At 42.0% G+C, this 16,124-nt stretch overlaps 2 protein-coding genes across 9 annotated transcripts in view, besides 4 other annotated features; both read right to left on the bottom strand.

Annotated features, from left to right (window-relative positions):
* Window positions 1-391, bottom strand: part of C3orf52 (chromosome 3 open reading frame 52) — a 49,993-nt gene extending 49,602 nt beyond the window's left edge. For all 4 annotated transcript variants that reach the window (XR_924171.4, XR_007095726.1, NM_024616.3 and 1 more), the window contains exon 1: window positions 235-391. Coding sequence is in view for 2 of the 4 variants with exons in the window: in NM_024616.3 (NP_078892.3) it covers window positions 235-372 (138 nt within the window). In the remaining 2 variants the exon portion in view is untranslated. The remainder of the gene's footprint in view (window positions 1-234) is intronic.
* Window positions 213-729: an enhancer, noted in NCBI's record as "H3K27ac hESC enhancer chr3:111804898-111805414 (GRCh37/hg19 assembly coordinates)". NCBI's record gives its function as "activates a minimal SCP1, AML or CMV promoter by ChIP-STARR-seq in naive and primed H9 embryonic stem cells {active_cell/tissue: H9 hESC(naive and primed)}" and the evidence as "EXISTENCE:reporter gene assay evidence [ECO:0000049][PMID:30033119]".
* Window positions 477-526: a silencer, noted in NCBI's record as "silent region_14602". NCBI's record gives its function as "represses an Ori minimal core promoter by ATAC-STARR-seq in GM12878 lymphoblastoid cells {active_cell/tissue: GM12878}" and the evidence as "EXISTENCE:reporter gene assay evidence [ECO:0000049][PMID:35858748]".
* Window positions 547-596: a silencer, noted in NCBI's record as "silent region_14601". NCBI's record gives its function as "represses an Ori minimal core promoter by ATAC-STARR-seq in GM12878 lymphoblastoid cells {active_cell/tissue: GM12878}" and the evidence as "EXISTENCE:reporter gene assay evidence [ECO:0000049][PMID:35858748]".
* Window positions 647-696: a silencer, noted in NCBI's record as "silent region_14600". NCBI's record gives its function as "represses an Ori minimal core promoter by ATAC-STARR-seq in GM12878 lymphoblastoid cells {active_cell/tissue: GM12878}" and the evidence as "EXISTENCE:reporter gene assay evidence [ECO:0000049][PMID:35858748]".
* Window positions 5,511-16,124, bottom strand: part of TMPRSS7 (transmembrane serine protease 7) — a 46,534-nt gene continuing 35,920 nt past the window's right edge. For all 5 annotated transcript variants that reach the window (NR_026734.1, NM_001395507.1, XM_011512754.2 and 2 more), the window contains 5 exons: window positions 12,368-12,484; window positions 11,288-11,459; window positions 9,636-9,904; window positions 7,902-8,038; window positions 5,511-5,866 (listed from right to left, as the gene is read on the bottom strand). Coding sequence is in view for 4 of the 5 variants with exons in the window: in NM_001395507.1 (NP_001382436.1) it covers window positions 5,696-5,866; window positions 7,902-8,038; window positions 9,636-9,904; window positions 11,288-11,459; window positions 12,368-12,484 (866 nt within the window). In the remaining variant the exon portion in view is untranslated. The remainder of the gene's footprint in view (window positions 5,867-7,901; window positions 8,039-9,635; window positions 9,905-11,287; window positions 11,460-12,367; window positions 12,485-16,124) is intronic.

Raw genomic sequence — 16,124 nt, 5'->3', positions numbered from 1 at the left:
AGCGCCTCGGGGGTCAGAGGGGTTGGAGGACCCCAGGGGCTGGGGAGGGGACTGCTCGGGCCGAAAGGTGTCGCGGTGACTCGGCTCCATTCAGAGCACTCGAGCGCGCCCCACCCTCGCTCGGCGCCGTCGACGCCCCGCCTGACTGGAAACCCGAAACTCGCGGGTGCCAGGCCCGGGTCCTACTACTGTCCCGCCGCCGGCAAGTTAGGGCCAGCGCCAAGGGGACCTTACCTCGGCCGGGGGGACCTCCTCGTCCAAAGAAGGGAAGACCTTGTCGGCACCATTGAGAGGCGTGTTCTCTTCTGGCTGCCGCTCGAGCACCGAGAGCTCCAGCTCGTCTACTGGCTGTGAGGGTTGGGCCAGGTCCATGTGCCGGCAGGGAAAGTCTGAGCGGCTCCGCGGGAGGCCACAGCGCCGGCGAGTCGAGCGACCTCCCCGCCTCACACTCCACCCACTGGGCGGGGCGTCGCGGACCTCGGGCGGCGGGAGCGGACCGGAGCGGACAGGAGGGGCAACTGTGAGTGGCGGCCACTCCCTGGATCCCGCGGGGTAGAGCACCTGAGGCCGTGCCGGAGTGGGCTCCAGAGCCGAAGGCTGTTTTTCTGATTTGTTCAGGGCGCTGCCTGCTATGCCTTTCCCCGCGCCTGCAGATGCAGACCATCTCCGTTTAGGGGCTGCCTGGGTGCCGGGCTGTGGTAAGGAAAGGGTGGGCCCGGCAGCACCGTCCAACGGAGAAAAGTTTGCGATCTAACCCTACGAACTGTTGGTTGTTGGGGTTTGCCACAGTCCTCGCGGCCTAGCAAAAGTGCATTCATTCAATCAACAAATAACCATGCCTCGTGCCAGCATGGTGCTAGGTTCTGAGTGCATGAAGGTGAATAATATACACCAACACACTTCCTCGCAAGTCCAGAGTCAGGCACAGAGACAGTATTGTGTGGTGCTGGGGACAGCGGACTCTAAAACCAGTGTACCTGGGTTATTCTCCACCCAGAGGGTTCCTCACTGTGAGACCTCGGTCTTCATCTCTCTGTGCCAACGTCCTCATCTGGAAAGTTGGTGTAATATTTGTACCCTCCTAAATGTAGTTGTTACCAGGATTACAAGGGTTGTTGTAAGCAAAGCACTCAGAACAGTGATTGACACAGCAAGCACTCATAAATGACCATTATTATTTATCTTTGAGAGGAGGGGCCTTACACACACACACACACACACACACACACAATGCACGCGCACACACAATCTCCTTGACACCCTATCTGTAGTTCAGAACTTCCGGTTTAGTTAGCATGGAATTATGTTTGTTAAGCACAGCATGGGTTGGGCCAAGGGCCTCAACTCTCAAGCTTCTGTTCCGAATAGTCTTGCTCCTTACTTCTCACCCTCCACGCAACACACACACACACACACACACACACACACACATTAAGACCAGACCATTAACAAGAAGCATATAAATCAGCTCCACTCCAAATATGTTGACTTGAGTCCAAAAGTCTGGCATCTTCAGTACCTGATGTTGAGACACAGCCTAGATATCCTGTCTCCAGCAGTCTGATGCCTGCTACCAGATCCCCTGAACTTTGGATCCATCTGCCTGCTAAGGGGAGTCTGCAGTGACTCATCTGCTGACCTGCACTGACTTCTGCTCCAACAGGTGGATCTTGCAAGAATCAGGCTGCATTCTCAGCTGGGATTTTTGAACAGGTTTTTTAACCAAGGAGCAAGGGTTAAGGGAATCAACAAGGCATGGTGACGTACCCAGGGACTAGCAATAGCGAGAAGCTGTTAACACTCCTAGGCCTAAAAGGGACTGGAGACTGATAAAGAACTAGAGCCATTGAAGGGTGTGGGAATTTGCAGGGAGGTCTTGATAGGATCTGTAGTCACGAAAACATGCAGACCTGACTGGAAGCACTGACACCTCTCAAACTTCTGATTCTCCCCACCCCCATCCTTACCCAGGGTCCAGAAAACTTTTCTCATAGTTCCCTTATTTGATTGCAGAAGTTCATCCTAAATGTGAGATTTTTTTCTCACTTCAGATGGATAGTAGCTATCTCCATGCCTGATTTCTCCATGCACAGATACCTAAAGCCTCCCTCACTCCCCCAGAGAATCAAAAAGCAACTGTTCCTGTCTCAAGCACACCCTAAACCACATCTTCTAATGCCTTTTGAGTACTGTTAAGCAAGGTTTATATACTCTGTAATTAGATTTAAATGCATTTCTATAATTCCATATGCCTAACCCTTGTTCTCATGTTACAGTGGAAGGAATATAAGTTCTGAAGGCAGACAGAACTAGGATCAAATTTAGACTCTCACTATCTGTGTGTTCTTGGGCAAGCTGTTCAATGTCTGCTTGTTTTCTTATAAAATGATTCCTACCTAGCAGAGTCAGGAAGATTAAGGTAAAGAATTTATTCCTGTGCCTGAAAAATGAAAGGATCTCAGTAAATGCTCCATTACATTCCCTGACTGTGTCTTTGTGGCTAATACCCACTCTCCCCCGACCCTTAGCACCCAGCACTAACCCTTGATTCAATATGTTTTCTTTTGATATTGGTTTTTCTTCCTGTGCTGTCCTATTTTCCTGATCACTGACACTTGCTGACACCTCCCATATTACCTGAACTAAATTCTTATTTGCAACCTGTTCCTGTTCCTGTTAACTGCAAATTTCTTAATCTCCAGACAGCTGACCTAGAATGCAGATGAGAGTCCCAACCCTACCTGAAGACTTTCTTCATCCTGCCAGTTTCACTCCACACTAAGGATTCAGAATAAGTTAGGAAGAGGTGTTTCTCCCTAGAGGTACAACCAAGTTTAGATTAAACGAGTCTGATGAAAGTCAAGAATTTGTGAATGAGGAACCAAACTCTACCTAGATTTGTTTTTGTAATTCCTTCAGAATTCATTTACATAAGGGTGGCTTTTTAAATATACTATTATTTCAAAAATAGATTTCTTTAATATAATTTAAAATTATTATTGACTCAATTGCTTTAGTTTGTTTGAAGTGTCTAATTTAAGTAACATTAAAAAATTAAAACATACTTATATTTGCTGACCAATATAAGATTTTTGATGTTGCTTTTTTTTAATAGTACTTGCTCTTCTTTTTAAATCCTTTTTAGAAGCAAATAATTTTCTAAATGGTTATCATATAAACTGAAAAACAAAGTAACATCATCAGAGTGATATCACCAATACACCAAAGGCATCTCATTCCCTTCAAATAGGTCTGTGACTCTGGAATACGCAACAGTTTGTTCCTGTGTGTTGTCAGATGGCAAGCAATACTACTCCGAACGTCAGCAACTGGGTCAGCCACTCAAGCTAATCAAGTAGAAAACAATTGAGAAATGGTTGCTTGTGGTGCTTCACTGTGCTATTTTCAAGGCACTGTGAAAGAAGGCATGAGTCCCTACAAGTTCTCCCTGATAATATGGCACGTGAAATGCTTCTGTCTTAATTTATGAAGGCCATTTTGCTCTGCTAACAAAACCATTCTTGGGACTTGCCTTACTTCACACCTTTGCAAGAATGAAGTGGATATTCCCACATCATTCAGGTTCTAAATGCATCTTAACATGCAATATCCAAGCAAGTTATGTTTGTTTTTCAACCTTTTCCCTGCCCCAGCACTGCTACAGCATATCGTGTACTCACTTTAATACCAGTGAGGGCCTATAGAGGTAGTACATACATGTGCTTTCAAAAACTCCCTCTGATGAATCTGATGGATCATGCCAGCCCTCCTCCATCCCCTAACCGAGATCACAGACTTATGCAAAGGTTTTCATGTATTTTGTGAAGAGCAATTCTATGCCCTAGAAATGACCATAAAGTAAAAAGTACAACTCACCTTGTATATAGGTCACAGCCATCCAGACAAAATAATGTAGATTATAAGAACTATCAGCCTAATTCGCTCTTCTATCCAGTGGATTCAGTAGCAAAGTCCTCCCTTTTGAATTAGTGGTACACTTGGCCCTCTGAATTGCACTATCGTATAGCCAGTTTACTGAAACCTTTGGGGCCCATTCATAGAGGTATTATTAAGATGCTTTATCCTTAATCTGAGGGAACAGTCTTTTAACAAATCAAAGTATATTCTATGAACTGAAAAATTTATCTGGCCTGGGAGATGACACCTTTTGCTCTCTCTCCTTTTGCTGTTACATTAAGATTTTCTAAGGTTCTGTGCATTATTCTATTAATAGACACTACCTGATGTTAGTATTTTTATTACTTCTTTGACTTTATAACAGGAAAACAAATAATATCACTCTTTTTTCTGTTGTTTTCACTCATTTGGTGGTACTATCAATTCTGGCTTCTGTTAATGAAAAGAATATTCTGAGATCAAGTATGAAACCTTCTAAATCAAGATAAAATAAATCAAGAACTAAGATACATTGAGAGTGTGCTATAGGCTTACAACTATGTAAGGTATTATAAGAGTCTGAAAGTAAAAGAAAGTCTCATCCACTGGGGTTTTAAAAAGAACCAAAAGCCAGATGATAATATTTCTGAAAAATTTCACTTTTGCAACAATCATTCAAAAATTTCTTTGCCTTTTTTTTGCTGACCAGCATTACAACAATTTCTTTGAATCTCATATACATGCTTTCGATTCAATTACCATGATGCTTTATTCTGCCATTTAGTAATGGTTGCTGTCAGTTTTGTTGGTTGGTTGATTGGTTTCTCTGTACACAACATTACCATGTGCCATGGCTGAAGATGGTCCACTATGATATGTTTAGATAAAATTGGTTTGTAAAGCAACAATATAGGTACTTATTCTGTCGATAACTGAGTTTTGCTTCATTTGCATTTGCAAAGGAGATATTTTGTGCATTTAGTTTCTTGAAAATGCTGAAGGTCAGGTATGTTTTTTACTGGAATTTCTTATTTTAATAAGTCAAATTTGCTGTAATTTTTATAAGTATCTGAACATGAATAGGGACATAAAATAGGGATGCCTGAACATCTCCCTTATTTTTTTATTTTATTTTAGAGGCTTGGTTCATAACATTACTTTAGGTTTCTTCCATCTCTGAATCAATAGCCTTTTGTACTTAAGAATGAATATAGTTATTTCCTTGGGAAAACTTTTTATGGAACACATATTAACCTGTCTTTCAATAAGTATTAAATGTATGTAATTTGACACTTCCAGTTGAAAAAAAGTAAGGGACTAATTTTATTATTAAATGTATGCAATTTGACATTTCTAGTTAAAAAAATGTAAGGGACTCATTTTATTAGTAATTATTGCATCATTTTATTTATTTATTTATTTATTTATTTATTTATTTATTTATTGAGATGGAGTCTCACTCTGTCACCCAGGCTGGAGTGCAGTGGCTGATCTCGCCTCACTGCAAGCTCCGCCTCCCGGGTTCATGCCATTCTCCTGCCTCAGCCTCCCGAGTAGCTGGGACTACAGGCACCTGCCACCACGCCCGGCTAATTTTTTTTTTTTTTTTTTTTCAGTAGAGACAGGGTTTCACCATGTTAGCCAGGATGGTCTTGACCTCCTGACCTCGTGATCTGCCCGCCTCGGCCTCCCAACGTGCTGGGATTACAGGTGTGAGCCAGCGCACCCAGCCAATTACTGCATCATTTTAAAGTATCTATTTTTAACATAAATCACAGTAAAAATACAACTGGTACAATTACAAAAGAGAAGGGACATATTTATGAATCCAGGGAACAAAGTTTGACACCCTTGTGTAAACACCAGGAAAGTTTGGTCGTCCACTTCCATGTCCCCAGCTAACAATGCCAGTCAAAATCCATTTTCCATCACTTTTTCTTCGACAAGATAAAGGTCCACCCGAATCTCCCTACACACACAAAAAATGTAAGTATAAAGTAAATTGGTCCCATGATCATCAGTTTCATCTTTATTGTATCTAATGAATTGTGTTCAAGAGTCCTCTAATGACATGTTTTTGCTTGGCTAATCACTCTGTAATTTGGGAAGTGTGAAAAACTAATGTGAAACTTCTATCATTTTATAATTATTCTTCCTATAATCAAACAGCTGCATTCATTAGACGAAACATGATTCTTTAGGCTAAGAATAACACTGGAAGATTCTTACTGGAGAAAACAACTCTCACATAGCCCTAAACAAAGAATAAACCTCAGTAATACTAGTGGTGATGGTGGTGGTGGTGGTGGTAATAGTAGTAGTAGTAGTAGTGGTGGTAGTAGTAGTAGTAGTAGTGAGGGCTAAAATTTATTTAGTGCTAGCTATGTGCTAAGAATCGTTTAGAGACATTTAATCCTCACAACAACCTTATGAGGCATGGTTATCTTGGAAGGTTGACTTCTATCTCTGGGCCATGCAACTTTAGTGGTTAGCTCATAGCCCCATGGAGAAGAAGAGACCTGTTTAGTTAGCCAGGTCCAGTGAAAAAACCCTAACAACTGCTGGTCCACAGTCATCACAAACAAATCACTCTCACTTGAGAGTCCTTTCTGATATCTCAATTCCTCTAAGCAAAGGCTTAAACAATTCAAAGTATAAACATAATTTCCACAGTATTAGTCCTTTAAATTATAATATCTAGGTTTTATTTTCCTATTTTAGAGGGTAGATAATCTTGCAACTTACTCAGAGGCAACAAATTTGCCCATGTATCCAAATTATGATCTTATACCTGATTAGGAAAATTCCAACTAGTAGGGAAGCTGGGCTCTTTATTTTAATTGCCACCACATCAACTCTACTAAGTTTAACAAGTAAACACTTGTGGCTGTGTGGAACAGGGCTGTGTAACCGACTAGCTATGGGAAGCACCCAAAATAGAGTACCCTTAGCATTAGAGAGGCAAGGGTTCAAATCCCAGCTCAGACATTTACACTTACTAGCTGTATGACCTTAGGCAATTTACTTACCCTCTCTGTGCCCAGTTTCCTCTTCTATAAAATGAGGAAAAAAGAATGATTGGAATGAATTTATGTAAAGAACCTAGCACGGTGCTTGCCACAAAATAGGAGCTCAGAAGACAGAAGTCATTATTATAGGATGAGTTTTTGTGGCATCATGGCTAAGCTTGTGGAAAGATGAAAGAACAGCTCCCACTGTCCTACTCACCCTCTAAATCAGGAGTATGCAATCTTTTGGCTTCCCTGAGCCACACTGGAAGAAGAATTGTCTCAGGCCACACATAAAATGTACGAACACTAATGATAACTAATGAGCTAAAAAAAATTGCAAAAAAAAATCTCATGATGTTTTCAGAAAGTTTGTGAATTTGTGTTGGGCTGCATTCAAAGCTGTCCTGGGCTGCATGTGGCCTGTGGGCCGTGGGTTGGACAAGTTTGCTCTAAATCATCTATTTACTCTTTGGCAATCATGTAGGTAACTGCATAGATTGGAATCTCAGGCTCCGAGAAATGTCACCCCAAAGGTGACTTCCAACTTTACCACTGCCAGGGGCCTACCCAGAGAACTACAAATGAGTATTCTTTGTCACCTCTCCATTCCTCTCCTCTTTCCACCAGCATATACTTCAAAGGAATGAGTAAATAAAATCCTTCAAATTTTAGAAATTAAATGGCAGCTGCTAAGGAAATAGGAAATAAATTGGTTATAAGAAAATTATGGCAGAATGATGAATGCTGACCTCATCCTCTAAATATTGAAGGAAAATACATGGAGCACATTATAGAAAACTGCGTTCTATAGAATAAATTATTTCAACACCTCTCCAAGATCTTAGGCAATTGGATGATAAATAATATCTGAGCAGCTCAAGTGAATTCAGGGAAATACCTGCCCTGGTTATTTCCCAGTGTTATGTAGATTAAGTGAGAAAGCATTTATGGAAAGCACAACATGTTAGGCAAGGGAAAGGTACAATGACTTACTTTGCAGGCATCTCTCTTGCCTGACATTATGCCTGCACAGAGCATCCGAGAAGTGATGATCCCGTAGGTGGAAACACAGAGCGTTTGATCAATGAGCTCTACCTCCGCTTGCTGCAGAACGAGGGAGCCTTTATTATCTGCAAAACACATTGGAAGTAGAAATGATGTTAGTGGTAATGGCCGCATGTATTCAGGACTTCATTTGAAAAGTTAACACACATTATCTCCTTTTACCCTCATAGCGGCAATTCCCTTGAGGTAAATTCTACTATTATCCTCATTTTGCTGATGAAGAAATCGAGTGCTAGGAGATTAAAGGGCTTGCCCAGTGACACACCACTAGCAAGTAACACAAGATTCAGACCCAAGGTCTGACTCAATTACTTGAACAACTGTGCCATATTCCTCACCATTTCCCTCCTGTTTTCCGTAGGATGGTAAGTCAGCAACAGTTATTACTAATATCTACTATTCAAGAGAGCTCTTTAAATGGAGCAGCATAACTGATATATGGGAGTCTCTGATGAACCATAAAAACCTAACAGTTTGCAAATAGCTGTTTCACTTCCTTTTGAACCTACCTGGCTAAGATGATTCAGAAAAATAAGTGTACACACACATACCCAGGCTTATAAAGAAAACATCTCATGATAAGTTGGTTGGGCAGATGCTTTTCTCCTGTGATATATGATAATGTAATCAAAGCACTGAGCACAGTAACCTATCAAAGTTACAAGTGTTCACAGTCAGCTGCCTTCCCTCCTTGGGACCCTGAGACTTCAGTGGACCCAAGCTGGTGGTATTACTACTTCAATCACTAAATGAAAGCACTGAGAAGCTGCCTTTGAGAAGTTGCCCACACTTTAGAGTGTCAAAACGAGGCTACAGGGCAAGGTTCAGGAATTACAGATGCTGTACGTGTCCTAAACCCTTGAAAAGGATGGCAAAAGAAGGTGAGGTGATTGAAAGATCAAGGGAAAATATTAGCACTAGCGTTTGGGGATACATTCACAAAGCATTGGATTCTTCCCCTCACTATATATTCAGAATCCCACCTTGAATCCTGGACCATGAAAAACCTTGGCAGGGTAGATGTAGGGACTTCCCTACTATACAGCCTGATCTTTATGCATATTGAAAAGATGTCCTCTCCCGTCAGAGAAATAGCAAAAAGGTATCTCCTCTGGGTGGACCAAATCCAAATCCTGGAGGTATAACCTCCAGGCCTGAGTTTCTGGTCTGGAAACTAAGGGCAGTCTGAAGTTCAGCCCTTACTCTCATCCCTTGGCCAATTGCACAGGCACAGGTCATACCCACATAGTCTCCCAGACTGTTGCCTATGAGTTGACATAGTGGGATGTGCATGTGTGTCCTTCTCTCCTTTATAAATGAATCATTTCTTTGAATGAAAAGGGAGGAATTGCTCCTTCTCTAGTGAATAACATAGCATAACCTTCAGAGTTTGAAAAGGGCCCATGACTATCTAGTCAATCCTGCCTTGCTCATACACAGTCCTCTCCCTCTTTATAAGGTGAGCCCTGCTTCTTTTAAAGCAGGTGGATAGCATCATTAAAAAGAAATAACAGTACCCTCCTCCAATCCAACCTTCCAGAGTTGTCAGGAGGTTCAAAGGAGATCATATACACAAACCCTCTCTGTGAACCCTAAAGCACTACATAAACACCTTATCATCCTCTGCAGGGGAAGGGCATGACCATTCATTCATACACACACCTGCTTCGTGTCTTCGCCCCCAGCCAGTTACCCAGCACTTCTCCCCACTGCGAACTCTCTGACCAGTGGGAGGAATGCATATTGGCTGAATGAGCTGTTTCAGGGTCTCAGGCCAGGCAATACTGAGCTGTAGCAAAGCAATATCATAATCAAAAGTCTGACTGTTATAGTACTCGTGGACCACAATTCTTCTCACCGGGGAGACAAACTTGGCATTCCCCTGAACATACATCCCGAGGTGTGCAGTCCATGGTGTGGGATCTGACAGCCTGATAGAACAGTAATGAAACATAAAGTTAGCAGCTTAAAGAACCACATACAGTTTGCAAACAAGCACTCTAAAGAGTTGAGGGCTGAAAAAGAAGGGCCTGACTTCCAGGGTGTTATTATAGTCACTGGCTTTGTCCGGGGACCATGGCAGAAAGCGTAACTGTGAGCCTCCCTTGTCTCCCTCAAAAAGTCAGAAATGACGTAAGCTGTATTAGGAGTGGCAAGTAATAGAAAATTCACTCAACAGTGTCCTAAGCAAATGCCTGGACATTTTCTTTCCACTAGTATTTCATGAACCACACACAGGTCAAGAATGTTGGTAACTAGAATTAATTTGTTACATTCTTCCTATTCATGCTGACAATGGCATTTGATGGAGAATCCTACTACCAAATTCAAATGATATGAATACCAAGATAGATTAGAAATCAAAGTGCTATAAGCAGGAATTTAATGAAATTCCTTCTGGCAAACTACTGGAAGCCTTAATGATCACTACTCTTACTGCTCAACAATGCCCATTCATAGGGTCACCAACTGCCATTCCCATCAGTCCTTCCAGAATCCCAATCTTGACCTCCATGACCTTGCACAAGTCACAGAAGAACTTGTAATCTCCATGTGAAGCGTCCATCTCCATCAGCATAGCAGTGGGGTAAAGAGTGGGAGTGAAAAAAATGAGGAAGCCCCAAAATTTTGGTCACTAATTTGCTTAGCTGATGTCTCATGAGTGTCAATGGACACCCAAAGAAATATTAGGGTTAATACATTATTTGGAGCAGTTTCACAGCATTAGAGACTCATGATCAAACAGATGTGAAGCTATCTTAATAATTAACACAAATCCTATAATTTTCAGGGAAACAAATATCCAAACTGTGTAACTTCATTGAAATACTAAAAAAAAAATGCAGAATGAGAAGTGAATGATTTTTTTAACCTAAGATTCAGTAGATTCCAATAGTAAGTTTAAATTTTAAGTGAGGTTATTTTCTAAGATGTCCTCTTACCCTTGGCTGGAAGAGCATCTATCCCATCATAATCCCATTGGGGACCTCCATTCTCCAGTCACTCTCCAGTGCCCATTTTTCTCCACATTCTCCACACATTCTCTTAAGTTTGCTCCCTCTGAGTTAAAAGCCCTATCTTATTTTCCCAGCCTTAGTAAAAGCCTATTCATTCTTGATGTTTCCTTTGTGCTTTTTTTATACCAATAATACCTTAAAAAAAAATGTTTGTCACACACGTGGGATCCAAAAAATGAAAGTGCAATTGAATTGATTGAATGTCCCCAACAGGGATCTGCTTCCCACAATTTGAGGGCAGATATATTGTCTATGGCCACAGAGTGCCACTTGAAAGTAAGGACCGTGAGGCCCTACCTGTTTCCATGAAAACAGTGGGCTGCAGAAAGAAGCCACTCCCTGGAGATGACTGAGGCACCACAGTAGGCAGATCCAACAAAGTGGAGGCTGACCTGCCACGGCCAACCCCCCTCCAGGGTGTCTGTGCCTCCGATGATGCGGTGAAGGGCGGAGGAACTCCTGCTGCAGGCTTTGGTGGAGAAAGGGCATGTGATTTAAAGGTAGACTTGGAAGAAAAACTAGAAGTTAAGCCAGTTTTAGTGCTGGCTGGGAACTGACTCACTAGGTAGCAATTTGAAATCTCCTTATCTAGAGGACAGAGAACATGTGAGTCTGTCTGAAACCAATACAAACAAACCACTCCCTCCTTCCTGAAGCATGCCCTGACACAGTCTCTATACCACAACGCAGATGAGAGGAGGAGGGGGACCTGCTGTAACAGCTGAACTGACACAAACAGCTGCCTATGGATTTAGATTGTCAGGTAAAGAGGAATGTAAATGAATTGAGAATTTCTTTGAAGTTGTGCTGATGTGACAGAAAGGATTGGGGAAAAGATTTATAAGACCTGGACAAATGAAAACCTACAGGGAAAACTAGTTATCAGAGCAATTGTTTGCTAGTGTAAATAGTATTGGTAAAGATGTATAATTTACATGTTGCCACATGGCCAAGTAGTAGCCACATGACTAATAGGAGCATGTGGGAGATTAGTTATTGAGTCAGGCCTAAAGAAACAGCACTTGATATTGTTAGTAACATAAGGCATTAACAGGTCATCCACTGCGTTCCAGTTTCTATTTATTTTCTCACAAGGTTTTTATTTAAGATCTTCTCCCTTGATTAAAATTATTAAAAAGTGAAAGTTCTCATTTTAAAAATTTAATTCATTAATGCTGTTATCAAGAAGACAGAATCCATTCCAGAGTTTTTATTTCTGAGAAACAATTTCAGACTCAGTTTGTCAATAGTTACTATTCTTGTTTTGGCTATGGCAACCTCGATCAAGGGAAATACACCAAGAAGGGAATGAAAATATAACAAACAGGTAAACTGAAGAGGGAATACAGGAACCCAAAGGAATGAATTTCTACTTACTGCAGCCTTCTTCATCACTTCCATCTGGACAATCCACTGTCCCATCACATTTTGCATTTTGTTTCCTAAAGCAAATATCATTGCCACACTTAAAAGTTCTGTTGTTGCATGGAATACCTAACAATGGACAAAAGAAGAAACAGCTTTCCTTAGCCAGAAACAAACTTGAGTGAATGAGATTTGAATGAATAACTCCAAACCCCATAAAAAATGGTTTAATCACAGGATTGGTATTTGCTGCTCTGGGATAAATGGCAGAGAGAAGAGAAGCAACCTCACAGTGATCCATTTCTTCACCTAAGAAAAGCCATTTGAACGCTGGCAGGCATATTTGTTGAGAATCAATCCAACCACCTCTTCTTTCTCCCATAGCAGGTGAGACATGAAGAAGTGCGACATATCAGTGGCTTTAGGCTGCAGCCTCTTTGCTATTACCTTCTCTTATTCTCCAAGAAAACTTTTGAGCAAAAATCACAGCCATGCTCAGTTATTTTATATCAGTAGGAGGCAAAATGGACAGACTTGTGAATTACAACACATTTGTTCACAACCTTGGAGGTTTGTTTCTTCAAGGGTGAGAGTGGAACGTGTTCCATTCCAGTATTTGGCAAGTTCCTCTACATCAGGTCCTCTGTATCCTACAATCCTGAGCATCATTAAAAGCAAGTAAGCAATAAGAAACTGCCAGTATTACAAAAGAAACTACCATCAGAGTGAACAGGCAACCTACAGAATGGGAGAAAATTTTTGCAATCTACACATCTGACAAAGGGCTAATCTCCAGAATCTACAAAGAACTCAAACAAATTTACAAGAAAAAAACAGACAACCCCATCAAAAAGTGGGCAAAGGATATGAACAGACACTTCTCAAAAGAAGACATTTATGCAGCCAACAGACACATGAAAAAATGCTCATCATCACTGGTCATCAGAGAAATGCAAATCAAAACCACAATGAGATACCGTCTCACCGCAGTTAGAATGGTGATCATTAAAAAGTCTAGAAAAGGCCAGGCGCGTAATTACAGGTGGCTCCTGCCTGTAATCCCAGCACTTTGGGAGGCTGAGGCGGGTGGATTGCCTGAGGTCAGGAGTTCGAGATCAGTGTGGCCAACATGGTGAAACCCCATCTCTACTAAAAATACAAAAAAAATAGCTGGGCATGGTGGTGTGCACCAGTAATCCCAGCTACTCGGGAGGCTGAGGCAGGGGAATTGCTTGAACCCGGGAGGTGGAAGTTGCAGTGAGCCCAGACTGTGCCACTGCACTCCAGCCTGGGCAACAGAGCAAGATTCTGTCTCAAAAAAAAAAAAAAAAAAAAGTCAGGAAACAACAGATGCTGGAGAGGACATGGAGAAATAGGGACACTTTTACACTGTTGGCGGGAGTGTAAATTAGTTCAACCATTGTGCAAGATGGTATGGTGATTCCTCAGGGATCTAGAACTAGAAATACCATTTGACCCAGCAATCCCATTACTGGGTATATACCCAAAGGATTATAAATCTTGCTACTATAAAGACACATGCACACGTATGTCTATTGCAGCACTATTCACAATAGCAAAGATTTGGAACCAACCCAAATGTCCATAAATGATAGACTGGATTAAGCAAATGTGGCACATATGCCTGGCTTGGCAGGTCCCACGTCCACAGAGCCTTGTTCACTGCTAGCGCAGCAGTCTGAGATCCAACTGCCAGGCGGCAGCCTGGCTGAGGGAGGGGCGTCCGCCATTGCTGAGGCTTGAGTAGGTAAACAAAGCAGCCAGGAAGCTCAAACTGGGTGGAGCCCACTGCAGCTCAGCAAGGCCTACTGCCCCTATAGACTCCACCTCTGTGGGCAGGGCATAGCTGAACCAAAGGCAGCAGACAACTTCTGAAGACTTAAACGTTCCACTCTGACAGCTCTAAAGAGAGCAGTGCTTCTCCTGGCATGGCATTTGAGCTCTAAGAACAGACAGACTGCCTCCTCAAGTGGGTCCCTGACCCCTGTGTAGCCTAACTGGGAGACACCTCCCAGTAGGGGCCAAGAGACACCTCATATAGGCGGGTGCCCCTCTGGGACGAAGCTTCCAGAGGAAGGATCAGGCAGCAATATTTGCTGCTCTGCAATATTTGCTGTTCTGCAGCCTCCACTGGTGATACCCAGGAAAACAGCATCTGGAGTAGACCTCTAGCAAACTCCAACAGACCTGCAGCTGAGGGACCTGACTGTTAGAAGCAAAACTAACAAACAGAAAGGAACAGCATCAACATCAACAAAAGGGACATCTACACCAAAACCCCATCTGTAAGTCACCAACATCAAAGACCGAAGGTAGATAAAACCACAAAGATGGGGAGAAACCAGAGCAGAAAAGCTGAAAATTCTAAAAACCAGAGCGCCTCTTCTCCTTCAAAGGAATGCAGCTCCTCACCAGCAACGGAACAAAGCTGGAGGAGAATTACTTTGACAAGTTGACAGAAGTAGGCTTCAGAAGGTAGGTAATAACAAACTTCGCTGAGCTAAAGGAGATGTTCAAACCCATCACAAGGAAGCTAAAAACCTTGAAAAAAGATTAGACAAATGGCTAACTAGAATAAACAGTGTAGAAAAGACCTTAAATGACCTGATGGAGCTGAAAACTATGGCACGAGAACTACGTGACACATGCACAAGCTTCAGTAGCTGATTCCATCAAGTGGAAGAAAGGGTATCAGTGACTGAAGATCAAATTAATGAAATGAAGTGAGAAAAGAAGTTTAGAGAAGAAAGAGTAAAAAGAAATGAACAAGGTCTCCAAGAAATATGCGACTATGTGAAAGGACCAAATCTACATTTGATTGGTGTACCTGAAAGTGATGGGGAGAATGGAACCAAGTTGGAAAACACTCTGCAGGATATTATCCATGAGAACTTCCCCAACCTTACATGGCAGGCCAACATTCAAATTCAGGAAATACAGAGAACACCACAAAGATACTCCTTGAAAAGAGCAACCCCAAGACACATAATTGTCAGATTTGCCAAGGTTGAAATGAAGGAAAAAATGTTAAGGGCAGCCAAAGACAAAGGTCAGGTTACCCACAAAGGGAAGCCCATCAAACTAACAGCGGATCTCTCGGCAGAAACCCTACAAGCCAGAAAAGAATGGGGGCCAATATTCAACATTCTTAAAGAAAAGAATTTTCAACCCAGAATTTCATATCCAGCCAAACTAAGCTTCATAAGTGAAGGAGAAATAAAATCCTTTACAGACAAGCAAATGCTGAGAGATTTTGTCACCACTAGGCCTGCCTTACAAGAGCTCCTGAAGGAAGCACTAAACATGGAAAGGGACAACTGGTACCAGCCACTGCAAAAACATGTCAAATTGTAAAGGTCATCGATGCTATGAAGAAATTGCATCAACTAACGGGCAAAATGACCAGCTAACATCATAATGACAGGATAAAATTCACACATAACAATATTAACCTTAAATGTAAATGGGCTAAATGCCCCAGTTAAAAGACACAGACTGGCAAACTGGATAAAGAATGACAAGTTAACAGGTGCAGCACACCAACATGGCACATGTATACATATGTAACAAACCTGCACGTTGTGCACACGCACCCTAGAACTTAAAGTATAATAATAATAATAATAAAAGAGTCAAGACCCATCAGTGTGCTGTATTCAGGAGACCCATCTCATGTACAGAGACAGACATAGGCTCAAAATAAAGGGTTGGAGGAAGATCTACCAAGCAAATGAAAAGCAAAAAAAAG

Source organism: Homo sapiens, chromosome 3, assembly GCF_000001405.40.
Source record: "Homo sapiens chromosome 3, GRCh38.p14 Primary Assembly".
In the NCBI taxonomy this organism is placed as follows: Eukaryota; Metazoa; Chordata; class Mammalia; order Primates; family Hominidae; genus Homo; species Homo sapiens.
Note: the sequence above shows the minus strand (reverse complement) of the source record. Positions and strands in the feature narration are given on the sequence as shown.